General features: G+C 35.5%; 2 protein-coding genes across 11 annotated transcripts in view; one reads left to right on the top strand and one right to left on the bottom strand.

Annotated features, from left to right (window-relative positions):
- Positions 1-16,442, top strand: part of CGGBP1 (CGG triplet repeat binding protein 1) — a 97,921-nt gene that overhangs the window by 54,744 nt on the left and 26,735 nt on the right. The gene's annotated exons all lie outside the window — the stretch shown is intronic.
- The window catches only part of ZNF654 (zinc finger protein 654), an 85,406-nt gene that overhangs the window by 49,534 nt on the left and 19,430 nt on the right, over positions 1-16,442 (bottom strand). For 7 of the 10 annotated variants that reach the window (NM_001366097.1, XM_017006789.3, NM_001350134.2 and 4 more), the window contains exon 2: positions 8,725-8,870. The exons of the other annotated variants lie outside the window; for them this stretch is intronic. Coding sequence is in view for 4 of the 7 variants with exons in the window: in XM_017006789.3 (XP_016862278.1) it covers positions 8,725-8,870 (146 nt within the window). In the remaining 3 variants the exon portion in view is untranslated. The remainder of the gene's footprint in view (positions 1-8,724; positions 8,871-16,442) is intronic. 10 annotated transcript variants of the gene reach the window in all.

Below are 16,442 nucleotides of genomic sequence, written 5' to 3'. Positions count from 1 at the left end.
ACCAAAGCTTAAGAAAACTATAGCTAATAAGCTTCAACCAATAAATTACTAAAAATATATGATTTGCTTAAATATTTTGAATTCTATAATTCTGTTCATTGCTTCTTATACAGCAAACTTGGAAGAAATTCTTCCAGTGCCTTAATCCTGGGATAATTTCTCATAAGTTTTCTTTGTAAGAAGCAGTGAGCAAAATTTTGTCAATTTTATCATTACAGAAGCATTTCATGTAATTTTTTTTCTTTTTTCTTCATTCCACAGTAAAAGCTGCCAGTATAATATTGTAGTCTAGTTCTATAAATCAAAAATATTAGTGGGAAGGAAGTTAAAAAGAAAAAAAAGTTCAGCTCTGTAGTTTTTTAATGATCTGACTTAGCACAAGATTAAGCCATTCAAAATAAAAAAATTCAAATGTACTTACACCATTCATAATGACTATATACATCTTTTAAAGAATAACTTTTAAAGAATAAAGATCTTCCTAATAGTAGCTTGTAGTCAACTGCTGTTTTGCTCTAATTTTTGTATATCCACACTGACCAAGAGAACTATCAAGCTTTCCTTCCTTTAGAATAGAAAAACAATAAATACCATTTTCCAAAACTACACATCTACAGCCCTCTAGATTCTGATATAAATACTAATGTAGGTGGGAACAGGGTATTTCTTTTCCCCTGATCACTTTCCATCCCTACCAACAGAAATATACCAATTAGTAATCTATCTCTTTGCTCATAAAACAACTATAGTCCCAACCACTTTACTCCAAAATCAATAAAAGGAGCAATAAAGACCAAAATTACCGGGGAAAAGATGCTAGTCACAACTAAGACCAAATGCAATACTAAGTTTCTAACGATGGCCAATACAAACAAATGCACTAAGAGTTTTTTAATATTGACTTTAGCTACAACAAATCCTATAAACAAAATACTCTAGTGTAATAGGGAAGAACAAAACCATCTCATGAAGTTTAGTAAGAGAAAAGAATTAAGACCACCAACTGCCTCAAAAAAAAAAAAGAATATTATCTCTTCCTCAGAGAAGACAAAGAAATAGAACGCTAGACGACCTAGATTTTTCTCTCAAATGACTAAGTTCACATGTCACAAATGATTAGTAAAGACAATAGATACAAAATTGGTTAAGGTGTTGAATAATTGTTCGTCAATATAAAGAGTCAGGAGTAAGAGTACTAGATGCTGTGGAGATGGGCAATACTCATTGGGACCTACAATACAAACACCTTTTGTGGGGCCCAGCCCCCGCAAAAAACAAATGTACCTTTATAATTAGCCTTTCTTCCTTTATTTCCAAGTCATTTCCTAAATTAGTTGAAAGCCTAGACTTAAATTATAAATGCAATCAAGTAAAACTTGATTATAGAGTAGAGACTGAAGTTAGGCTAGGCATAAATGCTGTATGAAATACAGTACAATTTAGCAACATAATCAGAAAGGATCAGTGATCTAACATTACATGTGTAGTCTAGTCCAAGAATATCTAGCCACTCAAAATAAGAGACTGATTATACCCACTTAGCTCCATGAAGACAAGACCCTTTGGTCTTTTCTCTTAGACAGCTTGCCAATACACCATTTAGTCTTTGCCAGTGCACACACCAAATACAACTAGCTGAACTAGTTCCTCCTCCAGTGATTCTTGTGGACCTAGTGGCCGTCAGGCAAATACCTGCTGTCCCATAACTCACCTCTACCTGGAATGCTGAAATCTATGAACATTTACTTTCTGTTGGGTAAAAGGAGGCTGTGAAGGCAGCATTACAATTTGCTTTTCTTTTATGTAAAACTTATAAAGTCTATATTTTCTGCCTGAAAGTCCACTTAGTTTCAGGGTGTTTGGCTTTGTTTCACCTGTGAAACTTAACTTAGGAATCAGTATTTAACCAATCTAAAACAAGGCAAAAGGAAAAAACCAGTAAGAACTTAATTAACTCAATTTGCAAAAGTCCCCCAACTTTTCAGGCTTCAGTTTTCTTATCTACAAAGAATGAATTTGAGGTCCATATGCACAAAGCAAAATCTCTGTTTCTTCAGAAAATACATCTTATAAGGATAGTCAACCCAGGTAAAGTTAGACAGAATTATAATTAGCTGATTTAAGACAATTCACTACATGACTTTTTATTTCTGTAACATCTGAAATAACACTCAAGTATAAATAAAAGCAGAATCCACTTTCCTTCCCTGTAGACAACACTAGCAAAACTCTAATTTTCAAGTGTCCCAGCTGATAGAAGGCAGATCAATACATATGTATAATTACAAAGTAGATAAAGGCTTTTATTAAGGTGGACATATATACCAGACAATACTGCCAGAGAATATAGTAACTTACAATTTTTCCATATAACATATTTTATTTGTAAATGTTATACATATATAAAAGACATAATCTCCTTAAATTATTTTATAACATTATTTAATAAACTTCATATGTCAAGCAAATAAAAAATTTAAAGTCATGATGTAAATCAAAAGAACTGTAAAAACAGATAATAAATATATTGAAATCTGTTAATATCCAGGTGCCTTAAACATTCTGTTTGCCATCCCTAAGAGGCTCTTCTGCTCCTTCATCTAAGTTATTCCTGTCATTCCTTCAGAGTACAGCAAGTTAGCTCACCCAGCACATTTTTGCTGACCTCCAAGACAGGTCAAGTCCCTGTTATGCCCTCTCATTGCATTCTGTAATTCTCTCCTAACTACAATTATATAAAAGTATAACTGCTTGTTTAATATAATATCTCTTAGCTCTGTAACATCTTGGAGAACAAGAATTTATCTATCTTATATTCTATTTTATCCCTAGAAGCAAGCAGAGCTTTACAGAATAAATGACCAAATAATTATGCAGTAATTGTTAGAAAAATTTTTTGATTAAATATTTAAATAAAATAACATACTATTGTAGATTTACTACTCTTTTAGTAGGACCAACATGTTGCTATTTCCCCATTTTTCTTCTGGTATGGAAAATATAATTAACTTCTCTGTAAAGTAAATACAAATAATGCAAAAAGTTTTCCTTCTAAGAAATCTTACTATTTAGTAAGTCATCAAGATAACATATTTCTTTTGCCTTACATTGAACATCTTAGATAAGATTTGCTTCTGCTTAACACATTATTTTTTACATGGGCAGTAGTAGAAAAGCTAGTGTTTTAGTCCATTTTCATACTGCTATGAAGAAATACCCGAGACTGGGTCATTTATGAAGAAAAAGAGGTTTAATGGACTCACAGTTCTACATGGCTGAGGAGGCCTCACAATCACAGCAGAAGGCGAAGGAGGAACAAAGGCATGTCTTACATGGCGGCAGGCAAGAGAGCATGTGCAGGGGAACTGCCCTTTATAAAACCATCAGATCTCATGAGACTTATTCACTATCATGAGAACAGCACAGGAAAAACCCGACCCCATGATTCAATTACCTCCCATTGGGTCCCTTCCATGACACGTGGAGATTATGGAAGCTACAATTCAAGATGAGATTTGGGTGGGGACACAGTGAAACCATATCAGCTAGCAGGCAATGCAAGAGAAGTCAATAAATGACATTTTAAACCAAAGAACTTTTGAAAGTTGTATAAGAATTTTCACATAACACTAAAGTTAACAAAGATTATATAGATGAAAGAGGGAAAAAATTCCAATAGGCACTGAAACAGCAATACTTCTTCCTTACGAATAATTTATTTTAATACATATTTTCCTCAAAAATCAGTAGAGAATAACTGAAACAGTTTTGGTAATCTGCAAAATAATGTAAACATTTTCCTTGTAGTGTGATTATTTATTATTTTTTATTATTTTTGTCTACGTAGCCAGTTCTTTAAGGAAATTGCTCCTCTCTCCAACACTTCTGTGGTTCTGATGGGGCAGCTAACATAGTACAGTCATTATGTTGCTTAACGACAGGGATATGTTCTGAGAAATGCATCATTAGGTGATTTTGTCCTTGTGTGAACATCACTTAATGTACATACACAAAGCTAAATGGTATAGTCTACTACACACCTGGGCTACAAACCTGTATAGCATGCTACTGTACTGAATACCATAGGCAACTGTAACAATAGTATTTGTGTATCTAAACAGACAAAAGTAAGTAAAAATATAGCATAAAACAAGCTTGTCCAACTCGCAGCCTGCATGCAGCCCAAGATGGCTTTGAATGAGGCCCAACACAAATTCGTAAACTTTCTTAAAACATTACGTAATCTTTTTGCAATTTTTTTTTCTTAGCTTATCAGATGTCGTCAGTGTTACTGTATTTTATGTATGGGCCAAGACAATCCCTATTCTTCCAATGTGGCCAGGGAAGCCATAAGATTGGACACCCCTGGTGTAAAAGATAAAAGCTGTTTATGTGTACAGGGCACTTACCATGAATGGAGCTTGCAAGAATGATGTTGTTATAGGTGTGTCAGTGAGTGAATGGTGAATGAATGTAAAGACCTATGACATGACTACACACTCATGTAGAAATATAAACACTGTATATGTAGGCTATACCGCACTTATAAAAATTTTTTTCTTTAATAATAAATTAGCCTTATTATAACCTTTATAAACTTTTTACTTTTAACTTTTTGACTATTTTGTAACATTTAGCTCAAAACACAAACACATTTGTACAGCTGTATAAAAATATTTTCTCTTTATATCCTTATTCTTTAAATTTTTTCCATTTTTAAAAATTTTTTCATTTTTGTATTTTACATTTTTCTTGCTGTTGTTAAAAACTAAGTCACATACTGATCAGCCTAGTTCTACATAGAATCAGGGTCATCAATATAATTTTCTTTCACCTCCAAATCTTGTCACAATGGAAGTTCTTCAGGGGCAATAACATGCATGAAGCTGTTACCTTATATGATAACAATGTCTTTTTCTGGAATGCCTTCAGAAGAACCTGCCTGTGGCTGTTTTACAGTTAACCTTTTTTTAATAGGTAGAAGAGGTACACTCTAAAATAACAATAAAAAGTAGAGCATGTACATAAATCAATAATATAATTATCACTGTCAAGTATTATGTATTATATGTATAATTCTATATGCTATACTTTTATCTAACTGGCAGAGCCGTAGGTTTGTTTACACCAGCATCACCACAAGCATGAATAATGTGTTGCACTACATTATGGCAGCTATGACTTCACTAGGCAATAGGAATTTTTCAGCTCCATTATAATCTCATGGTACCACCATCTCATATGAAACATCTTTATGCAGCGCATGACTTATTCTCCTTTTCCCTAGCCATGGACTAGCCCAAAATCTTATGACATTCTCAACACAGTGATTAATCTAAGCAGTAGGAACATAACTCAGGTCTGACCAGAGTTCTTCTCAAGATATTTTTGGGATCTGTAGTAGGCAGAAGGGGTTTCTTCCTCCTTGGTTAATAAACTGAGCTTAATCCTAGAACTGTCAACAGCCCTGAAAGAATAAAGCCCAAAGAGGAAAGATGGAAAGAAACAGTTTCTAGATGACATTAGCTCATCTAGCAACTGTTTATTTTATTCTCTAGATTCAGAAAATCCTGAAACTAGTCCCAGTTCTTGCTTTTCTATGGCTTAGTTATCTAATAAAACATTTTTTTTTTTTTAAACAGAGTTTTGCTCTTTTTGCCCAGGCTAGAGTGCAATGGCATGATCTTGGCTCACTGCAACCTCCGCCTCCTGGGTTCAAGTGATTCTCCTGCCTCAGCCTCCCAAGTAGCTGGGATTACAGGCGCTTGCCACCACGCCTGGCTAATTTTTTGTATTTTTAGTAGAGACAGGGTTTCACCATGTTGGCTAGGATGGTCTCGATCTCTTGACCTTGTGATCCACCCGCCTCGGCCTCCCAAAGTGCTGGGATTACAGGCGTGAGCCACCGCACCCGGGCTTTTTTTTTTTTTTTTTTAATACGTAAGCTTGAGTAAGACTTGCCAGGTATAATCAAAAAGTTCAAATACAAATAAATTCACATATTCCTTCCGGCATCACAAAATAAATATAATTTTTTTAATACAGTTTTTTTTAGGTCAGGCGTGGTAGCTCATGCCTGTAATCCCAGCACTTTGGGAGCCTGAGGTGGGTAGATCATCTGAGGTCAGGAGTTCAAAACCAGCCTGGCCAACATGGTGAAATCCCATCTCTACTAAAAATACAAAAATTAGCCAGGCATGGTGGCGGGTGCCTGTCATCCCAGCTACTCGGGAGGCTGAGGCAGGAGAATTGCTTGAACCCAGGAGATGTAGGTTGCAGTGAGCCGAGATCATGCCACTGTACTCCAACCTAGGCGACAGAGCCAGACTCCATCCATCCATCCATCCATCCATCCATCCATCCATACATACATACATACATAAATAAAGGTTTTTTTTTAAACTGCCTCACTCTTACAAATCTAAATAATATATTCTAAACTCTCTTTCCCTCCTACAATTTCAAATATATACAAATCAATTTTTAAAGACGCACAGTGTACACACACACATTTAAATTTCTCTTTGGTTTTGTTTTACATTCTGGATTTCTTCTTCAGCTTTACATCTTCCAACCTTCCTACAGAACTTTAAATTTTAACCATCATATTTTCTTAATTTCAAATTCATTTTTCATATCTCATTATTCCTTTCACACAGCGTGATACTGATGTTTTTAATGTTGTACGTAACTTCTCAATTCTCTCTAAAAATGCTAATTATAGATTTTATATTTCATTTTTATTTTCAACATTAACACTTTCTTTCAAAATTATTTTTCACTTTTTCATTGCATTTTTTCATATTGAAGGCATTTTTAAATATCTGATGATTCTTAGATATTCATTAATATGTAAAAACCAGGCCATATGTAAATAATTGGGAGCCCTATGAGCATGAGTCTGGAGTTTCTTGACTGATGAATTTTTCTTTAGCGTAATTAAGTAATTAGCTAGTAGTCTCACTGAGAAATCTGTAAATGCCAGAATGCAAAGGTCATTGCTCCAAGGTTATTTAATTTATATAGAGGAAATAAAAAAGTAGTATAGGTTGAGTGTCCCTTATCTGAAATGCTCAGAATTAGAAATGTTTCAGGTTTTGGATTTTGTAGTATTTGTATTTATACTTACTGATTGAGCATCCCTAATCCAGAAATCTGAAATCTGTAACGTTCCAATGAGCGTTTCCTTTGAGTATCACGTTAGCACTCAAAGAGTTTCGAATTTTGGAGCATTTCAGATGTCAGATTTTGGATTATCAGATTAGGGATACTCAACCTCTAATGCTGTTTCCCCACCCCAACCTGTCCGTAAGGCCTGGTGATTGAACTACATTAAAAAATTGTAATTAATTTATCTGCATTCTCCCCTAAATAAATGTTTCACATAATAATACTTATCCTATGAGACATACTCTGATATTTTCTATTGCAATTTGTAATAAGTGTTTTTATAAGCCACTGTTGTGGTGTGAGTACAATTTGAGGTATAAATAAATAACAGATGAAGCTGTGACTTGCTCCGCTGTGTTGCAATGACCATTCCTCTATCTGCTTTCTGTCCCCCAGAAAACTGTAGAAATCGTTCATTCACTGATAATCTTTCTCTATTTATTTTCATTCTCTTCTCTCTTTTACTTCTTTACTATAATTTTAGTGGGTTCTTAGGAGGGCAGAAGGCATAATCACAAATGTTCAGTTTTTAATCTTTAATTTGAAGTTCTCTATAAGCATTTTTTAAAAACCAGGATTTTCAGCCAGGTGTGGTAGCTCACGCCTGTAATCCCAGCACTTTGGAAGGCCAAGGTGGGCAGATCACCTGTCAGGAGTTCAAGACCAGCCTGGCCAACACGGTGAAACCCTGTCTCTACTAAAAATACAAAAATTATCCAGGCATGGTGGTGCACACCTGTGGTCCCAAGTACTCTGGGGCTGAGGCATGAGAATCACTTGAACCTGGGAGGTAGAGGTTGCGGTGAACCAAGATCACACCACTGCACTCCGGCCTGGGTGACAGAGAGACTCTGTCTCAAAAAAACAAAACAATGGGCTGGGCACGGTGGCTCAAGCCTGTAATCCCAGCACTTTGGGAGGCCAAGGTAGGCAGATCACGAGGTCAGGAGATCAAGACCATCCTGGCTAACATGGTGAAACCCCATCTCTACTAAAAATACAAAAAATTAGCCAGGCGTGGTGGCGGGCGCCTGTAGTCCCAGCTACTTGGGAGGCTGAGGCAGGAGAATGGCGTGAACCCGGGAGGGGGAGCTTGCAGTGAGCCGAGATGGCACCACTGCACTCCAGCCTGGGCGACAGAGCGAGACTCCTTCTCAAAAAGAACAAAACAACAAAACAAACAAACAGGATTTTCCTAACCTCTTTCTGACCTGATTTAAGGTCTCTCTGGTAACTATCATAGCCTAAACTGCTGTATTCTGGGACTTACCATTAGAGCTTCCCAAGGCAATCTGGAGAATTAAAAAGGAAAGTAAAGTGCTTGTAGTAACTAGAAGAATCTGTATATCAAAATTCCATTTAACTATTAAAACTTAAAGTAAAATTATGGTTACATGTTCAAAATTAAACCTGAATACTTCAGTGAAAAAAATAAACATTTCTTTTTGAGGGAATACTTTAGGAAAGGTTTCTTCTTCAGAAGAAATTATCAAAAACAAATTCTCAAACACATCAAGAAAAATAATGCATTTATAAGAAGTAAAAAGTACTTACACAGCAAGGCTACTCAAAACATATTGTACATGCTCACATTCATCTGGGAATGATGCACTGGCTGTTGTAAAACAACAAAGGGCAGTCTGAAGAACCTGAAGCTGTGGCAAAGGGACCTGCCATCTTCCAGCATAATCTTCAACCACCTGACAGAGAAGCAATCCAGACATTACTATAGAAAAAGTTCTCAACATCTCGAGTTTAAAAATTTGCATAAAAGTTACTGGATAAATTAAAATATTAGATCGGCATGAACACAGGTGACTGGAGGGAGGGATCTTCTATACTGTTTATTTTGACGATATATATCTGAAAATAAAATCAATTATTATCTTTGAAAAGATGGAAAATATAGTGTATGAATGTCTGTACTATTCAACTACCAATGTTTTACCAAATTTTGTTAACTAATGCCCTTTACCTCCTATATCCAGCTTTTGTGAAAATAACAATTATTCAATATTAAAATAGCTGGAGAGTAGAATATAGTAATAAAGAAAATTAGAAACGATCATGCATTATTATTATCATTATTATTTATAAGACTCTAAGCATTCTGGCAATAAATGAATATTCTGACAACAAAAGATATATGACATGATACTGATTATGAATATTTAACCTGTACATACTATGGGGAAAAGAGTCCAGAATACAGTCAGTCTTGGCTCTGTCACTTAACTAGTTTTATGAATCTGGGTAGGTCAACAGGTCATCTTCCTTCTCAATGCATTAGTTTCCTTACCATAAAATGGAGATGACAATGCTCTCTGAAGCCAAATTGGGGTAATTTATGAGAAAACATTTTAGAAACATCAATTGCTATGTTGCAAGAATGCTGTATTAAAACAATATATTATATTAACAAAATCCATCATCTAAAACTACTGCCTGCCTGCCTGATTTGTCCTGCCACTTGTTTTTGTACATCCACGAGGTAAAAGTGATTTTACATTTTTAAGTGGTTGGAAAAAAAATCACTTTGTGATATGTGAAAATTACATGAAATTCAAATTTCAATATCTATAAATAAGGTTTTATTGGAACACAACCAGGTTCATCCATTTATGTATTGTCTGTGGCTGCTTTCCTGCTACAACAACTGAGTTCAGTAGTTGTGACAGAAAGAATATGGCTTACAAAGCCTTAAATATTTAATGTCTGTCCTTTTACAGAAAAAAGTTTGCTGACTCCTGATACATAAGCTAAGAAAACTAGAATAGAAAAGCCAAGAACACTCAGAGCCCAAAAGACTTTTCACACTAATCACTTCCTACTGGGAGACAATTTTCCATGGGTCTCTCACATTTCTACAATTTTTCAAAAAGTCCTAGCTGACTTTATCTTTTCAAAGATATTTATAGGAAGCAGCCTTGAAAAACAGAGATGCTGTCTCCCTCCAGAGCAGAGAACCTGTTTATAGCCAGTATAATGAAGATATTTTCTCCCTCTAGGGCAGAGGTCAGGCAGATGTGCTTGTAGACCATTATAAAAGATTAGCGTTCCTTAAACTTGAGGTTCCTCAACTGTGATGAAAACCTACTAAGTGTAGCATCCACTTGGGCTACCATGTCAACTGTATGAGACTTGAGGTAGCAAGGGGCATCATCATAAACACGAAACTCACGCTGCTTGCTGTGCCATGATTAATAAAGTCCATTATCTCTGACTCAAGAGTTTCGTGTAATTGCCAGCACCTGTAAAACTGTGGCAGGCAAACTTGGATAAAATCTCACTCTTCACAGTTCTTGACAATTCCAAATGGCAGTACCAGGTACTCACACATCTTTCCAATGTTTCTGGGAACACATACAGATAAAAAAGAAAAGCTAAAGGAGATTGTCTCTGAACTTGTATCTCGTCTGGCTCTTGCAGTTCTCACTAGCTGGAAAGTAAAAACTACTACTAACTATGCGGTCATCACTACAGACTAAAAAAGAGGAATGTTAGAAAAAACACTGGTTCCCTGGCTCTAAATTTTCTCTTCCCTGAAGTCTTTGACCAGCTTTATTGCCTTTCTCTGGTTACCAAACCCCTACTCCGGTGCCACATAAAAAATAGGTACCTGACAGCCTCACATTTTTCTTGTTCCCAGTCCATGTTTACTTGCAACCTTATCTGCTCCCTATTTATGGGTTGGGTTTATCTCCTTAGAAGAGAAGCTTTCTACTTTCTCAGGTTCTGTTCTCATTATAGCTTCCTTCATTCATCCAGGTTTGGCTACCAATGTATTTGCCTAGTCTAGCTGAGGCCAAACCTAACACAATAAAAGTCCTTGTGGGCAACACCTCCATTAGGTTTGCTACAATACCCTGAAAGGGACATAAACAAAATCAACTGAAATTTAGATACCGTTTTACATTGTTTAATGTCGTGTCAGGCACTGTAATTCATTATAACACTATTTCAACACTATTTCTCTTTGAAATATTTTCTATATATATATATATATATATATATAAAATAAGTACATTACATTGTCCTATTAAAATGAAATTTTTCTCCTATGCTGTGAGTGCTGTCATACGCACTCAGCTAATCTGTGTGTTCTACAAGGCCACAAGGCAGTAAGCACCACATCTTTCACTTTTTTTCTTTTTTGGTATTCTAGTAGGTTGCCATTAACATAATGGTGGCCAGGATAACGCTGAAGCTGCTAAAACAAATAAGAATAGTGTTTTCCTGGATCTTAAAAACCCACTCTTACTACAGTTCTAAACTTTTAAAGAAAATGGTCTAAGAAGCAGAAGATTAAGGCTAGCAATCTTTTATGGATCGTGGAAACCCTTTTCTCATTTTGAAGAGCATAACAAACATTACTGTAGTGAATATTTACAGAAATTATAGGAACACTGATGACAGAAGCAATAGCCAAGGCCAGAAGCACGCTATGATATAAAGGGAATTGAAGAGGACAAAGCTGATGCCAAAGAAAGATGTTAGACTATGCTAATAATCCAGCAGCACTTTCAAGAGCATATACTCTGCTCTAAATGGGATATAGTATATACTATAAAATGTCATATCTTAATTAACCAAGGTAAATTAATGTGAGAATGAGAAAAGACTCATCAGTCAAAACTGTCAAAATGTAAACAACATAAAACTATTAAGTTAAAATTACATTAAATCATTTAGGAACACTAAAATATATCATCTAAATTGTTAAGGACTGAATTTTGTCTTCCTAAAGTTCATTTGTTGAAGCCCTAACCCCCCGATGGGACTGTATTTGAAGACAGGGCTTTGAGGAAGTAATTAAGTTTAAATGAGGTCATAAAGGTGAAGTCCTATTCCAGTAGGATTGGTGGTGAGGAGGAGGAAGAGTGAGGAAGAAGAGGGAGGAAGAGGGAGGAGGAGTGAGGAGGAGTGAGGAGGGGGAGGGAGGAAAAGGAGAAGGAGGCAGAAAGACCTCTCTCTTTCTCTATGCACATGCACCAAAGAATGGCCATGTGAGCACACAGGTCATCTGCAAGCCATGAAAAGAGCCCTCACCAGAACATGACCACGCTGGCATCCTGATCTGGGACTTCCAGCCTCCAGAACTGTGAGAAAATAAATTTCTGTTGTTTAAGCCACCAAGCATTTTCCTATGGCAGCCTAAGTAATACACAACTATTTAAACATATAAAGTGATCAACTAAAATATGAGTATCTGTTTCTTAATTGAGCTCTCCTTTTTTGTAATGTAACAAAGAAAACTACCAAACATTAGTTTGTCACTGAGCAAACAATGATCTTCATATCTAAACCCCTATTAACAGACTAGATCAATAACACAGCATCAAGCATGTCTTTATTTCTATTAGTTGGCTATTCACGTCCGTATTATTCTTTCCTCCTTGAAGACTCCCATTGTCATCAACTTTCATTACCTCAAACACCTCACAGTTCATAGGTGTCATTCAAGCTGTTCACTAATATTAAGTTCATCATTTGTTTACAGCGAATCCAGCCACTTTTAAAAACTGATTCACAGGCCAGGTGTGGTGGCTCACGCCTGTAATCCCAACACTTTGGGAGGCCAAGGCGGGCAGATCACAAGGTCAAGAGATCGAGACCATCCTAGCCAACATGGTGAAACCCTGTCACTACTAAAAATATAAAAATTAGCTGGGCGTGGTGGCACGCGCCTGTAGTCCTAGCTACTTGGGAGGCTGAGGCAGGAGAATCACTTGAACCCGGGAGGCAGAGGTTGCAGTGAGCCAAGATTGCACCACTGCACTCCAGCCTGGCAACAAAGCGAGACTCCATCTCAAAAAAAAAAAAAAAATTGATTAACAAACCAGAAGACGTGTCACAATTACCCTCCATTTTAGGGGCGTCAAAGAATGGCTGTGATACACTCCTGTATGAATTTGTTGAACGCAGACTAATACAATCTGTGCATTGATAAGTTTGCTAATTTTCTAAATACCTAAAATGTTTTAAAACACATTAGGTTAGTCTTACCCCCTTCAGTATGCTTATGTTATTCATTTGTAACGTAGTTGTATATATAAAAGTATTTCCTAGCTATCCATTGAGAGATCCTAGAAGCAATGACTCTACAGCAACAGTAAACACACTTAGTGCCCAAATCTTGGCCTCTAAATACCATTCTCCAATAAAAGGAACAAAGCAGCTGATTCCAGAGGTGGAACAGGGAAAACACAAGATGAGCCTGGAACTTGTTGTGGTGCCAGAAAGTAGAGAAATGCTGTGAAAAACAACAGGATATGAGAATATGGAAGCCAACCTGAAGGAGCTCCTAAAGGCTAAAGCTGGCACAACTTGAACAACAAAATAATGATAGCATTGGACTTTAATCCATACAATAAATTAAATATATGTAAGTCCATACTGATACAAATAATTAAATAAATGTTAGCAATGAGACAGCTGTTTCTTACAGTGAAAGAAGGAAAAAGACAAACAGAGAAGCACCATTAGGCAGACACCACAATGACAAATGTTGCAGACAACATCCATGCATCGATGCTAATAGTGAGTGAAAATTTGAGGAGAAGCAGGATTTGCAGTCTCAAGGTATCTCCCCCAAGACATTTATCAACAGATATAAAGACAGTACAGATATAAAGACAGTAACATTACAGTGGAAAACCCCCACATAAACTTAAAGCCATCAAGGTAAATATCACCTGTGAACTATATAATAAAATACATTATCATCATGAATCTCTTCATAACAATACATTGAGAAAGACACAATGCCATTTTTGTGGCACTTCTGCCAAAAATGCATAGATTGATTCCCATCACGAGAAAACAAACATCAGACAAACCCAAACTGAGGGATATTCTACAAAATATTAATAACTGATCAGTGCTCTTCAAAAATGGCAAGCAAAGACAAGGAAAGGCTGAGGAACTGTTACAGGCTGGAAGAGACTAAGGAGAAACAACTAAATACAACGTGAGATCACGGATAACATCCTGGAATGGGAAAAGAACATCAATGGAAAAATTTGAAAAGGTCTACAATTTTGTGACTATTGTACCAATGTTACTTTCCTGTTCTTGATAGCTGTACTGCATTCTGTAAGTCTAAAATTAGTTCAGTTTTAAAAAATTTAAAAACAAATCTGTCTGTTCCAACCTTTTCCCTCAAATTTCAATGTTGTTATAGATTTTCTGGATGTTATTTGATAACATAAGCAGATTTCTACATTTACTTTTTCTACTTTATTACCTATTTGCACCTCAAGATTTGCCCTTGCCTGTAGGTATTATGGTTAAGAGTCAGATGGAAAAATAAAGCAGGTAAATTGGCAGCAGAATGGAAAGAGTATAGGCTTTGGAAGCAGACAGACCTAGGTTTGAATTCCAGCTCTGTCACTTATTAGCTGGTAACCTTAGCAAAATCATTAAACTTCTATTCTAAATTACCTATAAAATGAATTTAATATCACTTTAATCACAGGCCTATTGAAAATTTAAATAAGACATATATTAAAATATAGGATAATTCCTGGCATGTAACAAACAAGAGCTATCAGATATAAAGACAGTACAGATATAAAGTGCACCATTACTAGTGCACCTTGTTTTAAGAAAAGAAAACAACAAAATTAAGCTTGCTTTAGTGACAATTTCATTACATCAGTATGAACTGGTTCATTATGTTTCCAAGTATGATTAATTACAACAAATTTTACTCACTTTTAGCAAGCAAACAGTTCACTCCTAAATAAAATCTGAAAACGACTGCTGAGTTTCAGCTATTTAGTTCGATGCTCATCTGACAAACAATGCATATCCTACATACAGCAATATAAATAAAATGCTACATGCCTGAACAGATACCTGAAGATTCACTGTTTTTACAATTCTCCCTGGAGAATGAAAAAGATAAATTGTTTGGAAAAAAAAAGAGTCACTTGTCAATTTGACCTTTTCTATCAGTATAATCATGTAATGGAAATCTAAAAGTCATGTTTTAAAAAAAAACACCAAAATGGTTTAGAAATACATTCTAAGTTAAAACTTGTGTGAAATCTGCAAAGAACATAATCTACAGTAGCAAGCAACCTAAAACCTGGTATTTCTGGGGGCTTAGTAAAGCATACTGTTCAACTCACTACTCCTTAAAAGTTGATATTTATACAACATTAATGTATTTGATAGGTTCTGTAAATGTAATAAGACAGAATCTTTTCAAAATGGAAAATGGAGTAAGCATCTCTAAATATTAATATTCCATACAATCATACTGTTAAAAGGAATCTTGAAGATTATCTAGTCCAACCTACCAACCAGAGCAAAAATACCCATTACAGTATCACTCCCAGAGAGTTAACCAACATGAATACTGTTACTGATGGGTAATTCACAATCTCAAATGACAATTTACTTAACTTTACAGATAACTTTATTAGAAAATTCTTCATTATGAAACAAAAATAGATAGATGTGACATCCATCTATCAGTTCCAGTTTGAAGTTTTAAAATTATATAAACAAAACATGCAATGTCCCATCAAATATTATAAGGCAGCTATCACATACATCTTTATTATAGTCTCTTCCTAGATTAAATATCTGCTATCCTTTCATCCATTTTAACTATTTCTCCATAGTCTACAAAATTTTCAGTTCTCATTAGCATATCTGTTTGTGCTCCAAAATGTGGATGTTCCTCTTCAACAAAACACAGCTCCCAATATGGAACATAAGACTTCAGTCAACTCTAGTCAGAATTAGTTGGACTATCATCTCCCTGTTTTTGACTCGATGATAATATTAATGTAGCCTGAAGTTACTTTAGGTTGAGTCAGCAAAAATGCTCTTTTTCATATAGATCCAATAACTTTTTATAGTTGATTTTTTACGGTATAACTGTACGTTAATCCTCTCACTTTTCCCATTCTTAGTTTCAGCCCAAACCTTCAACACTGACTTTTTAGCCAATACATTAGCTTTTCCTCCCAGTTTGTGTCACCTATAAATCTGAAAAGTTAGTTTTTTATCATCAAAGTTGTATACAAAAAAAAATTCACAGAGAATTTATAATAGAACCAAGTTCAGTTCCTTAGCTATCCTTAGAACCATTAATCAGTATTCTTTAGTCAACAGTGTTAAGTCAGTTAATAATACTAATCCATCCCCCATCTCCCTAAGAATACCATGAGAAATTCTGTATACAAAACCATGCTGAAATCCATATATGATGAGTCTGTCATATCTCTCATATCCATTACCAGTAATCCATTTTTTTA

Source organism: Homo sapiens, chromosome 3 (genome assembly GCF_000001405.40).
Source record: "Homo sapiens chromosome 3, GRCh38.p14 Primary Assembly".
NCBI classification, from domain to species: domain Eukaryota; kingdom Metazoa; phylum Chordata; class Mammalia; order Primates; family Hominidae; genus Homo; species Homo sapiens.
Note: the sequence above shows the minus strand (reverse complement) of the source record. Positions and strands in the feature narration are given on the sequence as shown.